The sequence below is a fragment of the Homo sapiens genome, chromosome 4 (assembly GCF_000001405.40).
Source record: "Homo sapiens chromosome 4, GRCh38.p14 Primary Assembly".
Classification (NCBI taxonomy): Eukaryota; Metazoa; Chordata; class Mammalia; order Primates; family Hominidae; genus Homo; species Homo sapiens.
In genome coordinates this window covers 104,324,138-104,344,522 of record NC_000004.12, presented here as the reverse complement: position 1 = coordinate 104,344,522, position 20,385 = coordinate 104,324,138, and the positions used below count along the sequence as shown (strand labels likewise).

The 20,385-nt window shown below is 35.4% G+C and overlaps 1 long non-coding RNA gene across 1 annotated transcript in view; it reads left to right on the top strand.

Moving 5' to 3' along the window:
• Positions 1 to 20,385, top strand: part of LOC105377350 (uncharacterized) — a 114,309-nt gene that overhangs the window by 49,889 nt on the left and 44,035 nt on the right. Inside the window, exon 2 of the long non-coding RNA XR_939033.3 lies at positions 3,263 to 3,343. This is a non-coding gene — a long non-coding RNA (uncharacterized LOC105377350). The remainder of the gene's footprint in view (positions 1 to 3,262; positions 3,344 to 20,385) is intronic.

Here is a 20,385-nt window from a genome sequence, read left to right as displayed (position 1 = left end):
GGAGCATGGGCTCCTGCCCAACCAACTCAGTAGGGTGTGGTGCTCCTGCTGGGATCACCTATTCCTGGCCCCTGCTGGCCCTGTGGAGCGTGCAGCTCTGACTGTGCCTCTCCCACCGCAGCTGATGTCCTTGCAGTGGCTGCTCCATTTGGGCCGCCACCACCATCACAAGCGTTAACTGTGCTTTTACTTGCTTTCTTTAATTTTCCCAATCCATTAGTATTTCCTACATCTCTTCACTTTTCTAAGAAGTTTTCTGTGTATTTTCTCACCTCAATTTTTAAGTATTCTTTCTTGTCATCATTCTTTATATTACAAACATTTATTGAGCATTATCTAGGTGTCAGGCAGTGCTATTGCCTCTAGGTATAAAGAGAGGAATCAAATACTTTTTCTGTCAACAAGAAGCTTACAATATAGTTTGGTCCATCATATATATAACAAGATGACTATTGTAAATATGATAAATCCATGAATGAAGTGTAGTAGGAGATTTAAAAAGGAAAGTCTCAAAATTCTACATGGGAAAGTTATGAAATATTGTATAAATTAGGCAATGCTTTCACTGAAATCAAAAATAACGAAGTGTTATCTAAGAAGACTGGAAAAATGTGGTGAGGTGAAAGATTTCTTAGAGCTAATTCCATATAGGTACACAGAAAAGCTTTCCTTTTAAAAAGAGGAGGTTGGTGGCAAAAACAAAACATAATTAGATCCTAAGCACTGCCAAAATATTACTCCTTAACTATTAAAAGGCAGGAGAGAGATAAATGTTTGAATTTAACCTACCAGATCTCTCTTTTTTAAGAAAATCTTTTATTTTCTTTGTTCTGTTTACTTCACTTTTCTGGGCCCAAAGAAACAATCAAGAAAAATTTTTATGATAAATTTCTTAAATATCATAAAGTGGAAAGAAGCTGGTTGCTAGCAAGAGTAGGGAAGCATAGTGGAGAAATATATCTAGCAGAAAAGAGGATGTCACTAACTGCTGAGCAAGAATTGTCAGGCAAGGTGTGCAGAAAGCCAGACAGTTGCAGAACAAGGGTTCAGCAAGCCTTGGAATACAATGAGGCAGGGGAGAATTTATGGACTCAGTTAAATGATAGGAAAATACCAGACTATAGGAATAGTCTCTAGTGAAATGAATATTCTTGCAGCAAATCATAAAGTGAATATGTGTGAATCTACTACTGCTTTCCACAATTTAGTTCTGATTTCCTTGCATGACTTTTCAAGAGAAAAAGATAGAAATGGTATAAGAGAGAATTTCCACCATTTACATGATTCCTTTCTTCTAAATGTCAGTCTTTTGAAGAAATGCATACAATAATGCTTTTATTTCTAATCTTTACTACTAAGACTGTTACTAAGTATTATCAAGGCCATGAGAAAGCAAAGCATGTTTATATAAATTAACTAGTTGTTTCCTTCTGCTTTCTCCTACTGATACTAACCTATTTTTACATTCAACCCACACACATAAACACACACATACAAAGATACACACACATTCACACTTCAACTTGTAAAAATATTTTAGACATCCTTTATTAATTGACTACTAGTAAATACTTAATTTAAACATTTGCTAGGAATTTGGAAAGATAACTTGGGGAATAGCATAGATTTGTTTTAATTTGTGGAAGATCTCTTTGCTTTCTCTAAGTCACAATGAATAGGGGAAAACGATCACTCCATGAAAACTGGGTTTTGTATGACTGACACATACTGCATTTTTAATAACACAGACTGAAATGCATTATTCAGAATGCACTGTTGTCCAGCATTTCAGCTCTGCTGTAGATCTTCGTACTTTTAGTGAGTCTGTTGTCTGCAAAAATTCAAATTATTTTTGTGATCAATACTAGTGACCAAGATACTGTTTGTCCAGTAAAACATAGTAAACTAGAACTAAGGATTATAATATCATATTTCAATTGATCAAATAGTTATAAATCAGTATTTAGTGTGAGCTGTCTCAATAAATATCTAAACATATCTAGCTATTTTTATTTTTCCTTTGACTTGTGAGAATAACATCATATTTACACAAGAGAAGCACGTGATTCCAGGGAACAATGCATGGGTATAAATATTACTTTTTAACAGCACAATAGAGCCCTTAACCAGTTTCAGAAGTCTTGAAGCTTAGAGATGATAAAGTGAAAGATGATGTTATTTATTGTTATTCATCTAGTAATTATATGGTCTCAACTTGTCAGGATGAAATATATTTATTTTTTAGTGACCCAGGCTATCAGAGCATACCGTTATGGTTAGGGGCTCAAAGACTAGAACCAGTTCAATAGCCCCTGGTGTTCTAAAATTAATCTTTTTATATGCAGACAATAAAGCAATCATATAAAACTTGGAGTCAGAAAAATGTGACTCGAGACCCAACTTGACTACTTGCTACTAGCTGAGTGGTTTTAAGTTATTTGTTATCATTTTCTTCATCTGTGAAAGAAGGGTTATAATAATCCCTACTGTAAAGATTCCTGTGAGATTCAAATGAGATAATGTAAATACATATGATTCATAAGTGATATTATAAATTCCTGTACTAGAGTTTTATATTTATTGTTATTGCCCAAGTTTTAACTTTTATTTTGAAATATTTGACTTCATCACTTTGAAACATGATTTCAAGATCAACGTTTGCAGTGATTAACTGTCAGTGACTTAGACTTTCACCTTTCATATACTTGATAGGATTTTCAGTCTAAACTTTCATAGAAGCAGTGTATTAAAAGCAATTAAGAAAAATAATCAGCACAACTTCAGGGTACTTACCTTGTATAGATAAAATGATCTATAGTTAGAACACTTTTGGTATTTAATATTTAGCATTCCTGCTTATTCCTATCCAATAATGACCTCTGTAAGTTAATGATCTGTAGTAATTTGTAATTAAGATAATAACACCTACTACATGGGGTTTCAGAAAAAAATAAGTGAGGTAACATAAGAAAAATGCTTTGGGCAAATTTGAATGAAGCCTGAGAATATGTTTAGCGTGTGAGAATACAAGATTAGGAAGTAAATGATCATAGGCCATCGCCAAGCAACTGGTATCAACAAGTGTTAGAGAAAAAATAAAAAGACTTATAAAAGTTCATAGGGCTGCATTTAAATTGATTAACAGAAGTCTTATGTATTTTTTTTTCTGTGTTTGGGAATCCTATAAAAAAGAATTTTTTTCAAAAAAAAACTTAATCATGAGTAAAACTCTCCTGTAACTGCTTGTTTTATTCCTATCTAGAATCCAATATACGAGGTGAAGAAGCAGTCAACACAACAAAGAAGAAAGGAGGAAAGCAAGTAGAGGAACAAGGAGGCAAAGGTAAGGAGATGTAATGAGGTGGTTAGAAGAAGGAGTAATAATGTGTAATAAGTGTAGACTATATCTCTTTCTCCTTCCTCAACACCTTTCATTTACTCTTCCAAGTCTGAAGGACTTGAAAAGTTTACAAAAATACCCATTCAAGTTTTTTTTTTGTTTTTTTTTTTTCAGGCTTAATTCCTGTATATAGCTTCGCACTTCTCTTTGCTAACCCCATCCTCCAACTCACACAAAGCCAGTGAGGTGGCGCATGTCTGTAGTCCCAGCTACTTAGGAGGTTGAGGCTGGAGAATTGCTTGAGGCCGGAAGTTTGAGGATGTACTATGTTATGATCACCCCTGTGAATAGCCACTACACTCCAGCCTAGTCAACATAGCAAGTCTCCATTTGTGAAAAATAAAAAAAGAAAGAAAAAGAAAACACACATGTACACATACCATACTTTCCCTTACGCTGCTTTCAAAGTAATTCAATAGAAAAACATAAGTGAAGTTAGAGTTTTCATTAGTCTTTAGTATAGTAATTAGCATGTTTCATCTAGTTGACTATGTTTATATATTTTGGGCATTAATAACTATATATTTGTATATATAATTAAATAATGGATACAATAACTATATTTATAAATAACTATATTAATCCATAAAATTATAATTTTTAAAATTACAAGTGATTGAAATATATGAAAGCAGTAAATAATAATTTTTAAATTTCAATTAATATAGATGTTATTTTATGGCAGTAGAATTCAGATATTTTTCAAATTTTTAACATCTCTTGGCTATTGATGCCTTTTTGGTACATGCTAACTTACTCCAGTAATTTGGTTCAGCATTTCACCTCATGTTAGTAAATAAAAATAATGGTGTGTTCACAGGTGAGCAAAGCAGTTACTGATCCCTGAAATAATAAATGTTTCAAATATACTGAACCAAAAGAATGATGTGATTTTTTTTATTTTATGTTGAAAATACTGAGCTAAAAATACTAAAGAAAATGAGAGAGATAAATTATATAAGTTAGATTTTCTATCCTTCATAACTCCAAATTAATAGCATGTCATTCAATGTAATTGCTCCTTTGGAGTTTTTAAAGAAAAACGTCCTTCTCTGTGGGATTTGTTATTTTAATTTTCATAGTTCATAATTAACCTTACAGTTGCATTTACACACTGAATCAAAGTGTACAGCGCAATATTTCAATTGTGATTTTGAGTGTGATTAATTTAGCTAGTTCTCCCCAGAGGCTTCTCCTTCTTTATTGTATTAATATTTCCCATCTCCCCATAATCTGCAAAGTGAATTGGATAAGTGAATCCATATAATATACAATTTATATGACTATAGTACAATATCAGAATTAGAAGGCTGATGATAATATAGAGTGTTGTGTATTGTTCTATATTATTTTCCCCACAATTTATTGGATTTATTTTTCACAATTCACTTTTCAGATTATGGCAACTGTTCAATACAATATGAAAGTGTTAGGCAGAGGATGTGTAAGAAACAAAAAAGCTTTCTTATTTATGGTAAATGATGTATCTTATAATATCATCTTTTTTTAACACATAAAAAGAAGATGAAACAAAACGTGTATTCGCTAAGTTTTTCTGTTCCTGAAGAACGTTTAGTTCATTTACATTTAGTGTAATTACTAAGAGGGTTGTTATTTGATTTTAGTCATTTTTTTTCTTTTGCCATTTGAATTAATCAGATATATTTTAATTTTCATCAATTTCCTCCTACTGATTTGTAGTAGTAATATTCCTCTAGAATACTAGATATTACACTAGAGATTACAATAGCATTTCTGAGTTCTTCTGGTCTAATAGAAATTATTACCTTTATCACATCTAGATAATGCTAAAATTTTATAATACTTTAATTACAATTAAATTCTTCTTTGTAATGTATGCATTACAGTAGCATGCATTTTAATTTTATATTTGATTTTTAAATTCCACAAGAAAATTACAATTCATGTATGTTATCCATGTATGTACCATGAGGACATTGTTCTTCAATGCGACATTTATTTCCATAATTTTATTTGGGATTATTTTTCCTCTGCCTAAAGAAGTGTTTCTTCTCAATATTTAAGTCATACCTAGTGAGATATAACACACTGTATTAAAATATAAAAATATTATGAACATATCAGTGATAATGCTTAATTTTTTTAAACTTTAAAAGTATAATTATACATTCACTGGGCTTTGCAAAGATAGTGTAGAGAGTTTCTTGGTACCCTTTAAAAGTTCTCCTAATGACTACAATTTGCACACTTGTAGTATAATCTCAGAAATAGGAGACTGTCTAAAATGAAAAGAGGACATTACCACTGACCTCATAACAAGAAAACCATCAGAGTATATGAATACCTTTATGTACAAAAAAGTAGAAAATCTTAAAGAAATGAATAAATTCCTGGAAATATACAACCTCCCAAGAGTGAATCAGGAAGGAATTGAGGCCATAAACAGATCAATAGCAAGTTCCAAAATTGAATCAGTAATGAAAAGCCTACCAAATAGAAGAAAGCCCTGAACCAGATGAATTCAAAGCTGAATTCTGCCAGGTGTATTAAAAAGAGCTGGTACAAATTCTACCAAAGTTATTCCAAAAAATTTAGAAGAAGGTATTCCTCGCTATCTCATTCTGTAAGGTCAGCATCATTCTGATACCAAAACCTGTCAGAGACAGGCCAATATCCCTGATGAACATTGATACAAAATATTCAACAAAATACTAGCAAACCAAATCCAGCAGTACATCATAATGCTAATCCATCACAGTCAAGTAGGATTTATTCCTAGGATGCAAAGTTGGTTCAACATAGGCATATCAATAAACGTGATTCATGACATAAACAGAACTAACAACAAAAACTCCATGGTCACCTCAATAGACACAGAAAAAGCTTTGATGTAATTTAATATTTCTTCACATTTAAAAATCCCCCAACAAACTATGCGTTAATGGAACATACCTCAAAATAATGAGTCATCTATAACAAACCCATAATCAACATTGTACTGAATGGCAAAAGCTGGAAGCATTCTCCTTGAGAACCAGAACAAGACAAGGATGCCCACTCACACAACTCTTATTCGCCATGGTACTGAAAGTCCTAACCAGAGCAATAAGACAAGAGAAATAAAAGGCTTCCAAATAGAAAGAAAAGTCAAACTACCTATATTCACAGATGATATGACATTGTATCTAAAAAACCCATAGTCTCTACCCCAGAGCTCCTAGATCTGGTAAACAACTTCAGTAAAGTTTTAGGGTACAAAATCAAAGTACAAAAACCAGTAGCATTTCTATACACCAACATCCAAGCTGAAAGCCAAATCAAGAATGCAACCCCGTTTACAATACCCAGGAAAATAAAATCCCAGAAATACAGATAACCATGAAAGTAAAAGATTTCTACAATGAAAATTATAAAAACACTGCTGAAATAAATAAAAGAGGACACAAACAAATGGAAAACACATCCTATGCTCATAGATAGGAAGAGTCAATATCGTTAAAATGACCACACCACCCAGAGCATTTTACAGATTCAATGCTATTCCTATCAAACTACCAACAACATTTTTTTAACAGAATTAAGAAAAAAAATTCTTCTAAAATTCATGTGAAACCAAAAGAGAGCCTGAGTGGCCAAAGCAATCCTAAGCATAAAGAACAAAGTCACATTACCTGATTTCAAACTACAAGGCTACAGTAACCAAAACAGCATGATACTGGCACAAAAACAAACATATGGGCCAATATAACAGGTTAGAGAACCCAGAAGTAAAGCCACACACCTATAATCATTGGATTTTCAACAAATTTGATCAAAAATAGCAATGGGGAATGGACTCCCTATTCAATAATTGGTGCTGGAGTTACTGGATAGCCATACGCAGAAGATTGAAACTGGACCCCTTTCACCATATACAAAAATCAACTCAGGTGGATTAAAGACTTAAATATAAGACATCAAACTGTAAAAACCCCAAAAGACAACCTAGAACATATTATTCTGGACATAGGTGTTGCCAAAGTCTCATGATGAAGTCACCAAAAGCAACTGTGACAAAAATAAAAATTTACAAGTGGCACCTAATTAAACTAAAAAGCTTCTGCACAGCAAAAGAAACTATCAACAGAGTAAACAGACAACCTACAGAATGGGAGAAAATATTCACAAACTATGCATCCAATAAAGGTCTAAATTCCAGAATCTACAAGGAACTTAAACAAATCAACAAGCAAGAAACAACCCCATTAAAAAGTGGGCAAAGGACATGAACAGACACTTCTCAAAAGAGTACATACATGCAGCCAAGAAGCATATGAAAAAATGCTCTACATCACTAATCGCTAGAGAAATGCAAATCAAAACCACAATGAGATATTATCTCATACCCATCAGAATGTCTACTATTAAAAAGTCAAAAAATGACAGATGCTTGTGAGATTGCAGAGAAGAGGGAATGCTTATACACTGCTGGTAGAATGTAAATTAGTTCATCAACCGTGGAAAGCAGTTTAAGAATTTGTCAAAGAACTTAGAGCTATTATTTAACACAGCAATCTCATTACTGGGTATATACCCAAAGGGATATAAAGGAATATAAATTATTCTACCATAAAAATACATGCACAGATATGTTCATTGCAACACTGTTCACAATAGCAAAGACATGGAATCCACCTAAATGCCTGCCAATGGTGGACTGGAAAATGTGGTACATATACACCATGGAATACTACACAGCCATTAAAAAAATGAGATCAAGTCCTCTGCAGCAACACGGATGGAGGCCATTATCCTAAACAAATTAACACACGAACAGAAAATCAAATACTGTATGTTCTCACTTACAAGTGGGAGCTAACATTGTGTATATATGAATATAAGGAAGGAAACAATAGACACTGTGGTCTACTTAAGAGTGAAGGGTGGGAGGACTGTGAGGATTGAATAATTATCCGTCGGATACTATGCTTAATACCTACAGCAAGATTAACACTTGCTGTAAGTTTTTGTAATGGTTCTCTCTTTTCACTATTTTCTTTAAAATATTTATCATAAATAGGTTTATTAGTTAGTGTTCTCCAGAGAAACAGAACCAATAAGATATATATAGCTTTATAAGAGGAAATGTTTAAATGGAAATTGCCTCATGCAGTTAAGCTCAGATAATGTAGAATAGGTAAGGTAATAATCAAGAAGAACATAAAGTTGGAGAACCAATGCTACCAGATATCAAGACTTATTTAAAACACTAATGAGAGTAATTAATATCAGCATAGCATTGATGCAAAGATAGGAGTTATAAAATGCAACATGAGAGACAGTTGTTAAACAGACCCAAAGATTGTCACTCATCTTGTGTATTACAGAGTCCACTGCAGTTGAATGGGGAAAGGAGAACTTTTACGAAATGGCACTGGGTCAATTAGATGTCTGTAAGAGAAGAAATAAACCTTGATTTCAGGCATATGTAACATAAATTTCAGATGAATCATTGATCTAAAATTAAAAGCTAAACAATCAAACTTCTAGAAGTCTTTGAGATAGGAGAAGACAAATTAAACCATAAAAGAAAAATGACTGATATTGAATTTGAGAATTTCTTTAGTTTGATTCGATCTTATTTGTCAATATTTACTTTTCCTGCAATTGCTTTTGGTGTCTTCATCATGAAATCATTGCCAGTGCCTATGTCTTGAATAGTATTGCCTAGGTTGTCTTTCAGAGTTTTTATAGTTTTGGGTTTTACATTTAAGTCTTTATTCCATCTATGGTGGAAGGAAGCAGTCCAATTTCAATCTTCTCCATATGGCTATCCAGTTATTCCAAAAACATTTATTGAATAAGGAATCCTTTCCCCATTGCTTGTTTTTGTCAGGTTTGTCAAAGATTAGATAGTTGTAGGTGTGCAGTCTTATTTTGGGATTCTCTATTCTGCTCCTCTGGTCTATATGCCTGTTTTTGTACAAGTACCATGCTGTTTTGGTTATCATAGCACTGTAGTATAGTTTGCAGTCAGGTAACATGATGCCTCTTGCTTTGTTTATTTTGGTTAAGATTGCCTTGTCTATTCAGGCTCTTTGTTGGTTCCATATGAATTTTAAAATTATTTTCTCTAGTTTATGAAGAATGTCAATGGTAGTTTGACAGAATTAGCATTGAATCTATAAATTGCTATGTGCAGTATGGCATTTTAGTGATATTGATTCTTCCTATTCATGAGCATGGATTTTTTAAAAAAATTGTTTGTGTCATCTCTGATTTCTTTGAACAGTGGTTTGTAGTTCTCCTTGAAGAGATCTTTCACCTCCCTAGTTAGCTGTATTCCTAGATATTTTATTATTTTTGTGGCAACTGTGAATGGGAATTCATTCATGATTTGGCTCTCTGCTTGACTGTTGTTGGTGCATAGGAATGCTAGTAATTTTTGCACATTGATTTTGTATCCTGAGACTTTGCTAAAGCTCTTTATCAAATTAAGAAGCTTTGGGGTTGAGACAATGGGGTTTTCTAGACACAGGATCATGTTGTCTGAAAACAGGCATAGTTTGACTTCCTCTTTTCCTATTTTGAGCTCTTTATTTCTTTCTCTTGCCTGATTGCCCTGGCTAGAATTTCCAATACTATGTTGAACAGGAGTGGTGAGAGAGGGCCTCCTTGTCTTGTGCCAGTTTTCAAGGGGAAGTCTTCTAGCTTTTGCCCATTCAGTATGATGGCTGTGGATTTGCCCTATATGGCTCTTATTATTTTGAGGTATATTCCTTCAGTAACTATTGATAGTTTTTAACATGAATGGATGTTGAATTTTATCAAAAGACTTTTCTGCATCTATTGATACAATCACTTGATTTTTGTCTTTAGTTTTATTTATGTGATGAATCACATTTATTGATTTGTATATGTTGAACCAACCTTGCATCTAAGGCATGAAGCCTACTTAGTCATGGTGAATAACCTGTTTGCTGTGCTACTAGGTTCAGTTTGCCAGGATTTTGTTAAAGATTTTTGTTAATGTTCCTCAAGGATATTGGCCTGAAGTTTTCTTGTTTTGTTGTATCTCTGCCAGGTTTTGGTATCAGGATGATGCTGGCTTCATAGAATGAATTAAGGAGGAGGCCCTCCCCCTCATTTTTGGAGGAAAAGTTTTAGTAGGAATGGTACCAGCTCTTCTTTGTACACCTGGTAGAATTTAGCTGTGAATTTGTCTAGTCTTAGGCATTTTTTTTTTTTTTTTTGGTTCGTAGGCTGTTTATTGGTGCCTCAATTTCAAAACTTGTTGTCGGTCTGTTTAGGAATTCAGCTTCTTCCTTGTTCAGCCTTTGGAGGGTGTAGGTGTCCAGAAATGTATTCATTTCTTCTAGATTTTCTAGGTTATGTGCATGGAGGTGTTGATAATATACCCTGATGGTTGTTTCTATTTCTGTGGGGTCAGTAATAATATCCATTTTGTTATTTTTCATTGTATTTATTTAAATCCTCTCTCTTTTATTCTTTATTAGTCTAGCTAGCAATCTATTTTGTTAATTTTTTTCAAAAAAATAGCTCCTGGTTTCATTGATATTTTGAATGGTATTTCATGTCTCTAACTCAGTTCAGCTCTGATTTTGGTTATTTCTTGTCTTCTGCTAGCTTTGAATTTGTTGCTTTGGTTCTCTAGTTTTTTTAGTTGTTTTAGTTGATCTGTCTAATATTGTCAGTGGGGGTTTAAAGTCTCCCACTATTATTGTGTGGGAGTCTATGTCTCTTTGAAGGTTCCTGAGAACTTGCTTTATAAATCTGGGTGCTTCTGTGTTGGGTGCATATATATTTAGGATAGTTAGATTTTCTTTATGAATTGAACCCTTTACCATTATGTATGCTCTACTTTGTCTTTTATGATCTTTGCTTGTTTAAAGTCTGTTTTGTCAGAAAGCAGGATTGCAACCCCTGCTTTTCTCTGTTTTCCATCTGCATGGTAGATTTTTCCTCTATCGCTTTATTATGGACCTATGTTTGTCACTGCCTGTGAAATAGGTCTCTTGAAGACAGTATACTATCTTGGTCTTTATCCAACAATAATAACAAAATTTCAGAAAAAATCATTAAAAATAAGTGAGACTTGAACAGATATTTCAGACACAAAAATAATCAAATAATCACTAATTTAAATCACAAGATGTTAAACAGTAGATGCAGACCAAAGAGACCAAAATGAAAAAGACTGACAATACTAAGTCTTGAGAAGGTTATAACTGGAACTATATATTCCGCTGCTAGTTTGAGGATAAATTTATGAAACAACTTAGAAAATATTTTGAAATTTCCTATTAAAAGTAAACATGCCTATGCCTTATAACTAAGCAGTTCCACTCTTTAATATAAAATTCAACAAAATAAGTGTATATAACCATGAAAAAATACACATATAGAAATAATTAACTTTATTAATAATAGCCAAAAACTTGGGGAAAAAATTTAAAAATGGATAACTATTTTTTGGTTTATTCATACAGTGGGTTATGATAAAACGATGAAGAACATGCTACTAAAATGAGTAAGAACGCAACCTAATCATGCAGACAAAATGTTGAATAAATTGAGTTGGAAACAAAATACTGCATACAGTATAATTCTCTTTATATGAAGGCAGAACTAATCTATGGTAGTGGAGGTCAAAATAATGGTTAACATGGTGGGGGTTACTGATTGGAAGGGAATCATAAAGGGTTCTCAGACATATGTTGTTCTGGGTTGTGGTTACATAGGTGTATCCATTTGTAAAAGACATATTGATTGTTACAAGTCAGACTTATTCAACACACTGTATGTGTTGTATTGTAATAAAAACAAATACCTTTAAAAATGTACACCATCCAGAGTAGTGAAATAAGGCCAGCTATGTAGCCAAAGTTCACTCCAAGCATATAGGAAATGGGCCACACCTGAGGAGAGAATGTATGAGATAATAAAACAACAAATGTTTTGTTATTACTTGAGTACAAGTAAAGTGTAATGCAAATATTTTACTATTAAAGCTTTACGTGCTTTCTCTAGAAAAATATAGAGCAGATAGGATTTACTAATAAATTAAACTGAGGCTTCTAATAAATCAAAGATCATTTCAAAGTTTTTGCCATTAGTAAATGGAAAAATGAAGTTGTTGTCTATTGAAGAAGATTGAAGGAAGAGCAGGTTGAATTCGGGTAAAGAGATTTAATCATGCTAATTTGGGAATATCTATTACATATTCTATGTAGAGAGTTAGCAGCTGGATATATATAAGTTTTGAGTTTGGTGAGCAGTCCAGACTTAAGGTAAGTTTTGCAGGATTATCACTGTTTTAGTAAGGGTTCTCAAGAGACACAAAACCAATAGGATGTTTGTATACACCCACACAAATACAAACACATATTTATATTTATAGATTTATATATTATAATATGTTTGTATTAAAAGGAATTAGTTCACATGATTATAGAGGCTAAAAAGCCCTCAGATACGCAGTGGCAAGCTGGAGACTCAGGAGAGCCAATGATATGTAATTTCATTCTGAGTCCAAAGGTCTGAGAACCAGAAGAGCCAGTGGTCTAAAATCCAACCCCAAAACCAGTTAGCTCAAGATACAAGAAGAATCAATGTTTCAGTCCAAGTTTGAAGGCTAGAAAACACCAGTGTTCCAGATCAAAGAATTAGGCAGAAGGAGTTTCCACTTACTCAATCTTTTTCTTCTATTCAAGTTTTCAGTTGATTAGATGAGGGTTGCCTATATTAGAAAGGGCAATTTACTTATATATAGTCTACCAATTCAAATAGTAATATCATCCAAAAACATCCTCACAGATACATTTAGAATAATGTTTAACCAAATATCTGGGCACTATCATGATCACCAAAGATTTAAGTTCATGAGAGTGGGTGATGTCTCCCAAAAAGTGATGCAAGAACTAAGCCCTGGACACTCTAATGTTTGAAGGCTCAAAAAATTAGCAATATTCAACTAAAGAAGTTTAGAAGGTGTGGCCAGTAAAGCAGCAGGAAATCTGAGAAAATGATATACAAGAGGGCAAGTGAAGTATTTCAAAAAGTTGAGATACAGCAACTTTGCCAAAAATAGTGGATGAGTGGAATGCAATGAGGCCAGAGATTTAACGCTTAGTTCACAGAGTTGGTTCAAGAAATGATCAAAGCCCTTTAATTTTGGCCATAATGGAATAATTTGAGGGGGCTTACAGGACTTAAGTCCATAAAGTACTAAAAATCTCGGTAAAATGTATAAAATAATTGTTTTCAAACATTGAATAACAGGAATCAGAGGACTATAGTTCCTTTAAAAAAAGGAAGTAAACTAAATGAATCCTATTCTACTGGCTTTCTGCCTTAAGGCCCTCCCTTTTCAGATAAAAATGAGAGGAGGGGAAACTCAAGCAGAGCTGAGATAGATTGGAATCCAGAAAAGCAGAGGCAGCTGGAACTGTGAACAGATACCAGTGACGAAGATGCTACCCAGAGAAAGACATAGAGAAATCTATAAAGGATTGAATCTGTCACTGAATAAAAACCCATACATAAGTAGCGTGGAATGTCTCAAGTCATAGCAAAGAATTATCAGAGAGCTGGAAACTGAACATTATCCAAAGATTGGGTGGTACATAGAGCTTGGAATGTTTGAGCTACAACCAGCCAGAATGAGAAGTCTTCAATGAACACCTGAAGCATTCGGTATATACCTCTGAAATGTACATTCTTAGCAGGAAAACTAAGCTGGCCCTAGTGTGAAAACTACTGTAAATGCTCTTCTACTGCCTTTCATGTCCCATTTGAATTGCTCTCTTAGCTGACTCTAACCGAAACCTGCAGCACTCAGCTTTAGTCAGAAGCAGTAGAGGCAAATGGAACACACATCATTCAGCACAAATAACACAAGTGACTTTCTTAGTGACACAAAATTCTTTAATGTAGTGTTTAATAGGTGACGAAACCATGATTATGTGTATACAGGAAAATAACATAGTATAAGACTAGTTACCTGTGGAAGGGTATTATTTACGTAGAGACCTTGTGGTAGTTATATAAGACTTCTAACATGGGACATGTAAAGGGCTTTTATCTGATTTAAAAGACAGAAGCAGCACCAAAAATACAGTAGAAGAAAAAGGGAAGGTAATAATAATTAGCTCATTTATTATACTGCTATATGTCAGTCACTATTCCAAATCTACTATGCATATTGACTCCCTTAAGTCTAACAGTAATCTATAAAAGTAAGTATTTTTATTCTCATTTTAAACACCACAAAAACTCTAGCACAGAGACACTAAGGAAATTGTCCAAAGTCACACAACTAATAAATGGCTGTATTAGTCCATTTTGCATTGCTGTAAAGGAATACCTGAGACTGGGTAGTTTATTTTTAAAAAAGATATTTATTTAGCTCACAGTTCTGAAGGCTGTACAAGAAGCATGGCACCAGCATCTGCCTCTGTTGAGGCCTCAGGAAGCTTTTACTTTTTTTACTTTTTTGCGGAAGGCAAAGGGGAGTCAGCATATCACATGACAAGAGAGGGAGCAAGACAGAGAGCAAGTAGTAGTTCTTTTTGACAATCAGGTCTTGCCATAACTAATAGACCAAGAACTCAATACCATGGGAGGGCACTGAACCATTCATGATGGATCTGTATCTAAGACCCAAACATCTCCTAGCAGAGTCCACCTCCAACTTTGGGGATCACATTTCAGCATGAGATTTGGAGAAGACAAATATCCAAACTATATCAATGGCTAAGCAAGGATTTGAACCCAGAAAGTACAGCTTCAGAATTTGTGGACTTAAAAATGATGACAAACTGTTAAACAGTGAAGGATATTGTAAAAGAGGAAACTGTGAGGCAAGCAGGTAAATCAACCATCAAAATAAAAAATGAACTCATTTTTATTTGTATTGAGGAGTTAATGGCTAATTTGAAAACAAATAGAGAATTTTTATAACATTTTGAAAAGAAATTAAATACACTTTTGGATTTCCAAGCTTAAAATATGTTTCTAATGATGAAATTATAGGTTGGCCATAAGTGTTTTTACAGAAATAGGAAATTTGGAAACTATTATAATTGTCTAAGTACATGTAAGATTCATCAGTGAGAATATTTAGGCATTATGTTCTTTAGGAAGAAGAAACAATATTTAAATATCCATTAAATACTTAGGCCTTTGCGTCTTTGAACATTTGCCCTAATCCTGCTGACTGGAACCCGCTCCCCATCCTTGGACTTAAAATCAACCACAAATCAGCTTCCCCTTCACTAAGCCTTTCCTTTTCCATTCAATAGATTCAGCCATTCTCTTTTTTTAACCACTTAATTGAGGTGTAACTGACATACAAAATTTATATAATTTTATGTGTTTGGGCATAAGTATGCACCCATTAAAACATCATCCCTAGCTATGCCATAAACACATTCATAATCTCCAGAAGTTTTCTCCTTCCATTTTTATTGCTTGTGTTACAAAAACACTTACCATAAGATCTACTCTTTTAGCAAAATTTTAAGTATACATTGTAGTATTATTAACTGTAGACAATTTGTGTACTGTACAGTAGATCACTAGGATTTTACTCACCTTGAAAAGCCAAAACTTTGTACTCTGATAACTCCTGTTTCCTCTGAGTCTTCACAGTAAGTACTTTGCTAACACCTCTATGTTAGTCGGTATCATTATATTGATATTATTTTTTAAATGTGTGCAGTGGATGCTGTGGTGCACTACCCTAGTATCCCTTTAGGACTGAGAGATTCATTCTCACAGTTGCAGGAATGTTTGCTTGTTGACAACTTGCAACTGTGTCCCTCTCTCAGAATTGCTTTCAGCTGAAAGAAACTGCCTTGCCCTCTGCCCGAGGGAATCCTACATCCAATAACTGTTTGATGCAGAAGTACAAAGGCCTGGCCCATTGGCTCCAATTGGGTATGACTCTGAAGGGGCATCCAAGCTTCAGAACTCCCTGGGGGATTAACTGAGTTTGCTGTTGCAACTGTACTATACTATAGTTCAGTGTCACCTTCTGCACAATGCAGCTTCATGGTTCTAACAAGAGCATTATCTGAGAAATCTGATGCATACAAAACTAAGGTGGCCTAAAGAAATTATCTTAGCCATGTGTCTGTCTTTACCATTAGACCCTGTTATTGGAAGGAAAAGACAATTTCCATTTTTTTTCCATGGAATAACTCATATCTAGCTAATATTTATTGGGTCCTTGCTATGGCTTAGGCATCATGATCTATAATTCTTCATACCAGTTCTTGAGATAGGTAATACCATATTTCAATGATGCTAAAACCCACTGATTATATAATGATTTATCAATTTGTAATTAGGGATGAGAGTGAAACAATTACATAACATATCACAGCACATAATCCTTATAAGCACATAAGAATATGTACTTTAGTTCACCTTTTTTTACATTTAGTGCTTCTCTATGGTCAGTAGAAGGAATCGTCTGAATATGTTCACCTCTTAGAAATCATCAGTATAGGTGGAGCCAAGATGGCAGAATAGGAACAGCTCCCGTCTACAGCTCCCAGCGTGAGGGACACAGAAGACGGGTGATTTCTGCATTTCCATCTGAGGTACCGGGTTCATCTCACTAGGGAGTGCCAGATAGTGGATGCAGGACAGTGGGTGCAGCGCACCATGCACGAACTGAAGCAGGGTGAGGCACTGCCTCTCAGGAAGTGCAAGGGGTCAGGGAGTTCCCTTTCCTAGTCAAAGAAAGGGGTGACAGACGGCACCTGGAAAATCGGGTCACTCCCACCCTAATACTGCGCTTTTCCAACAGGCTTAAAAAATGGCACACCAGGAGATTAAATCCTGCACCTGGCTCGGAGGGTCCTATGCCCATGGAGTCTCCCTGATTGCCAGCCCAGCAGTCTGAGATCAAACTGCAAGGCGGCAGCAAGGCTGGGGGAGGGGCACCTGCCATTGCCCAGGCTTGCTTAGGTAAACAGAGCAGCCAGGAAGCTGGAACTGGGTGGAGCCCACCACAGCTCAAGGAGGCCTGCCTGCCTCTGTAGGCTCCACCTCTGGGGGCAGGGCACAGACAAACAAAAAGACAGCAGTAAACTCTGCACACTTAAATATCCCTGTCTGACAACTTTGAAGAGAGTAGTGGTTCTCCCAGCAGGCAGCTGGAGATCTGAGAACGGACAGACTGCCTCCTCAAGTGGGTCCCTGACCCCCGAGCAGCCTAACTGGGAGGCACCCCCCAGTAGGGGCAGACTGACACCTCACACGGCTGGGTACTCCTCTGAGACAAAACTTCCAGAGGAACAATCAGGCAGAAGCATTTGAGGGTCACCAAAATCCGCTGTTCTACAGCCACCACTGTTCTGCAGCCACTGCTGCTGACACCCAGGCAAACGGTCAGGAGTGGACCTCTAGCAAACTCCAACAGACCTGCAGCTGAGGGTCCTGCCTGTTAGAAGGAAAACTAACAAACAGAAATGACATACACACCAAAAACCCATCTGTATGTCACCATCATCAAAGACCAAAAGTAGATAAAACCACAAAGATGGGGGAAAAACAGAGCAGAAAAACTGGAAACTCTAAAAACAGAGCGCCTCTCCTCCTCCAAAGGAACGCAGCTCCTCACCAGCAACGGAACAAAGCTGGATGGAGAATGACTTTGACGAGTTGAGAGAAAAAGGCTTCAGACGATCAAACCACTCCAAGCTACAGGAGGAAATTCAAACCAATGGCAAAGAAGTTAGAAACTTTGAAAAAAAATTAGACAAATGGATAACTAGAATAACCAATGCAGAGAAGTCCTTAAAGGAGCTGATGGAGCTGAAAGCCATGGCTTGAGAACTACGTGAAAAGTGCAGAAGCCTCAGGAGCCGATACGATCAACTGGAAGAAAGGGTATCAGTGATGGAAGATGAAATGAATGAAATGAAGCGAGAAGGGAAGTTTAGAGAAAAAAGAATAAAAAGAAATGAACAAAGCCTCCAAGAAATATGGGACTATGTGAAAAGACCAAATCTATGTCTGATTGGTGTACCTGAAAATGACAGGGAGAATGGAACCAAGCTGGAAAACACTCTGCAGGATATTATCCAGGAGAACTTCCCCAATCTAGCAAGGCAGGCCAACATTCAGATTCAGGAAATACAGAGAATGCCACAAAGATACTCCTCGAGAAGAGCAACTCGAAGACACATAATTGTCAGATTCACCAAAGTGGAAATGAAGGAAAAAATGTTAAGGACAGCCAGAGAGAAAGGTAGGGTTACCCACAAAGGGAAGCCCATCGGACTAACAGCGAATCTCTCAGCAGAAACTCTACAAGCCAGAAGAGAGTGGGGGCCAATATTCAACATTCTTAAAGAAAAGAATTTTCAACCCAGAATTTAATATCCAGTCAAACAAAGCTTCATAAATGAAGGAGAAATAAAATACTTTACAGACAAACAAATGCTGAGAGATTTTGTCACCACCAGGCCTGCCCTAAAAGAGCTCCTGAAGGAAGCACTAAACATGGAAAAGAACAACCGGTACCAGCCACTGCAAAAACATGCCACAATGTAAAGACCATCAAGGCTAGGAAGAAACTGCATCAACTAACGAGCAAAATAACCAGCTAACATCATAATGACAGGATCAAATTCACACATAACAATATTAACTTTAAGTGTAAATGGGCTAAATTCTCCAATTAAAAGACACAGACTGGCAAATTGGATAAAGAGTCAAGACCCATTAGTGTGCTGTATTCAGGAAACCCATCTCCCATGCAGAGACACACATAGGCTCAAAATAAAGGGATGGAGGAAGATCTACCAAGCCAATGGAAAACAAAAAAAGGCAGGGGTTGCAATCCTAGTCTCTGATAAAACAGACTTTAAACCAACAAAGATCAAAAGAGACAAAGAAGGCCATTACATAATGGTAAAGGGATCAATTCAACAAGAAGAGCTAACTATCCTAAATATATATGCACAATACAGGAGCACCCAGATTCATAAAGCAAGTCCTTAGTGACCTACAAAGAGACTTAGACTCCCACACAATAATAATGGGAGACTTTAACACCCCACTGTCAACATTAGACAGATCAACGAGACAGAAAGTTAACAAAGATACCCAGGAATTGAACTCAGCTCTGCACCAAGCGGACCTAATAGACATCTACAGAACTCTCCACCCCAAATCAACAGAATATACCACCACACCACACCTATTCCAAAATTGACCACATAGTTGGAAGTAAATCACTCCTCAGTAAATGTAAAAGAACAGAAATTATAACACTGTCTCTCAGACCACAGTGCAATCAAACTAGAACTCAGGATTAAGAAACTCACTCAAAACCGCTTAACTACATGGAAACTGAACAACATGCTTCTGAATGACTACTGGGTACATAACGAAATGAAGGCAGAAATAAAGATGTTCTTTGAAACCAACGAGAACAAAGACACAACATACCAGAATCTCTGGGACACATTCAAAGCAGTGTGTAGAGAGAAATGTATAGCACTAAATGCCCACAAGAGAAAGCAGGAAAGATCCAAAATTGACACCCTAACATCACAATTAAAAGAACTAGAAAAGCAAGAGCAAACACATTCAAAAGCTAGCAGAAGGCAAGAAATAACTAAAATCAGAGCAGAACTGAAGGAAATAGAGACATAAAAAACTCTTCAAAAAATTAATGAATCCAGGAGCTGATTTTTTGAAAAGATCAACAAAATTGATAGACCACTAGCAAGACTAATAAAGAAGAAAACAGAGAAGAATCAAATAGATGCAATAAAAAATGATAAAGGGGATATCACCACTGATCCCACAGAAATACAAACTACCATCAGAGAATAGTACAAACACCTCTATGCAAATAAACTAGAAAATCTAGAAGAAATAGATAAATTCCTCGACACATACACCCTCCCAAGACTAAACCAAGAAGAAGTTGAATCTTTGAATAGACCAATAACAGGCTCTGAAATTCTGGCAATAATCAA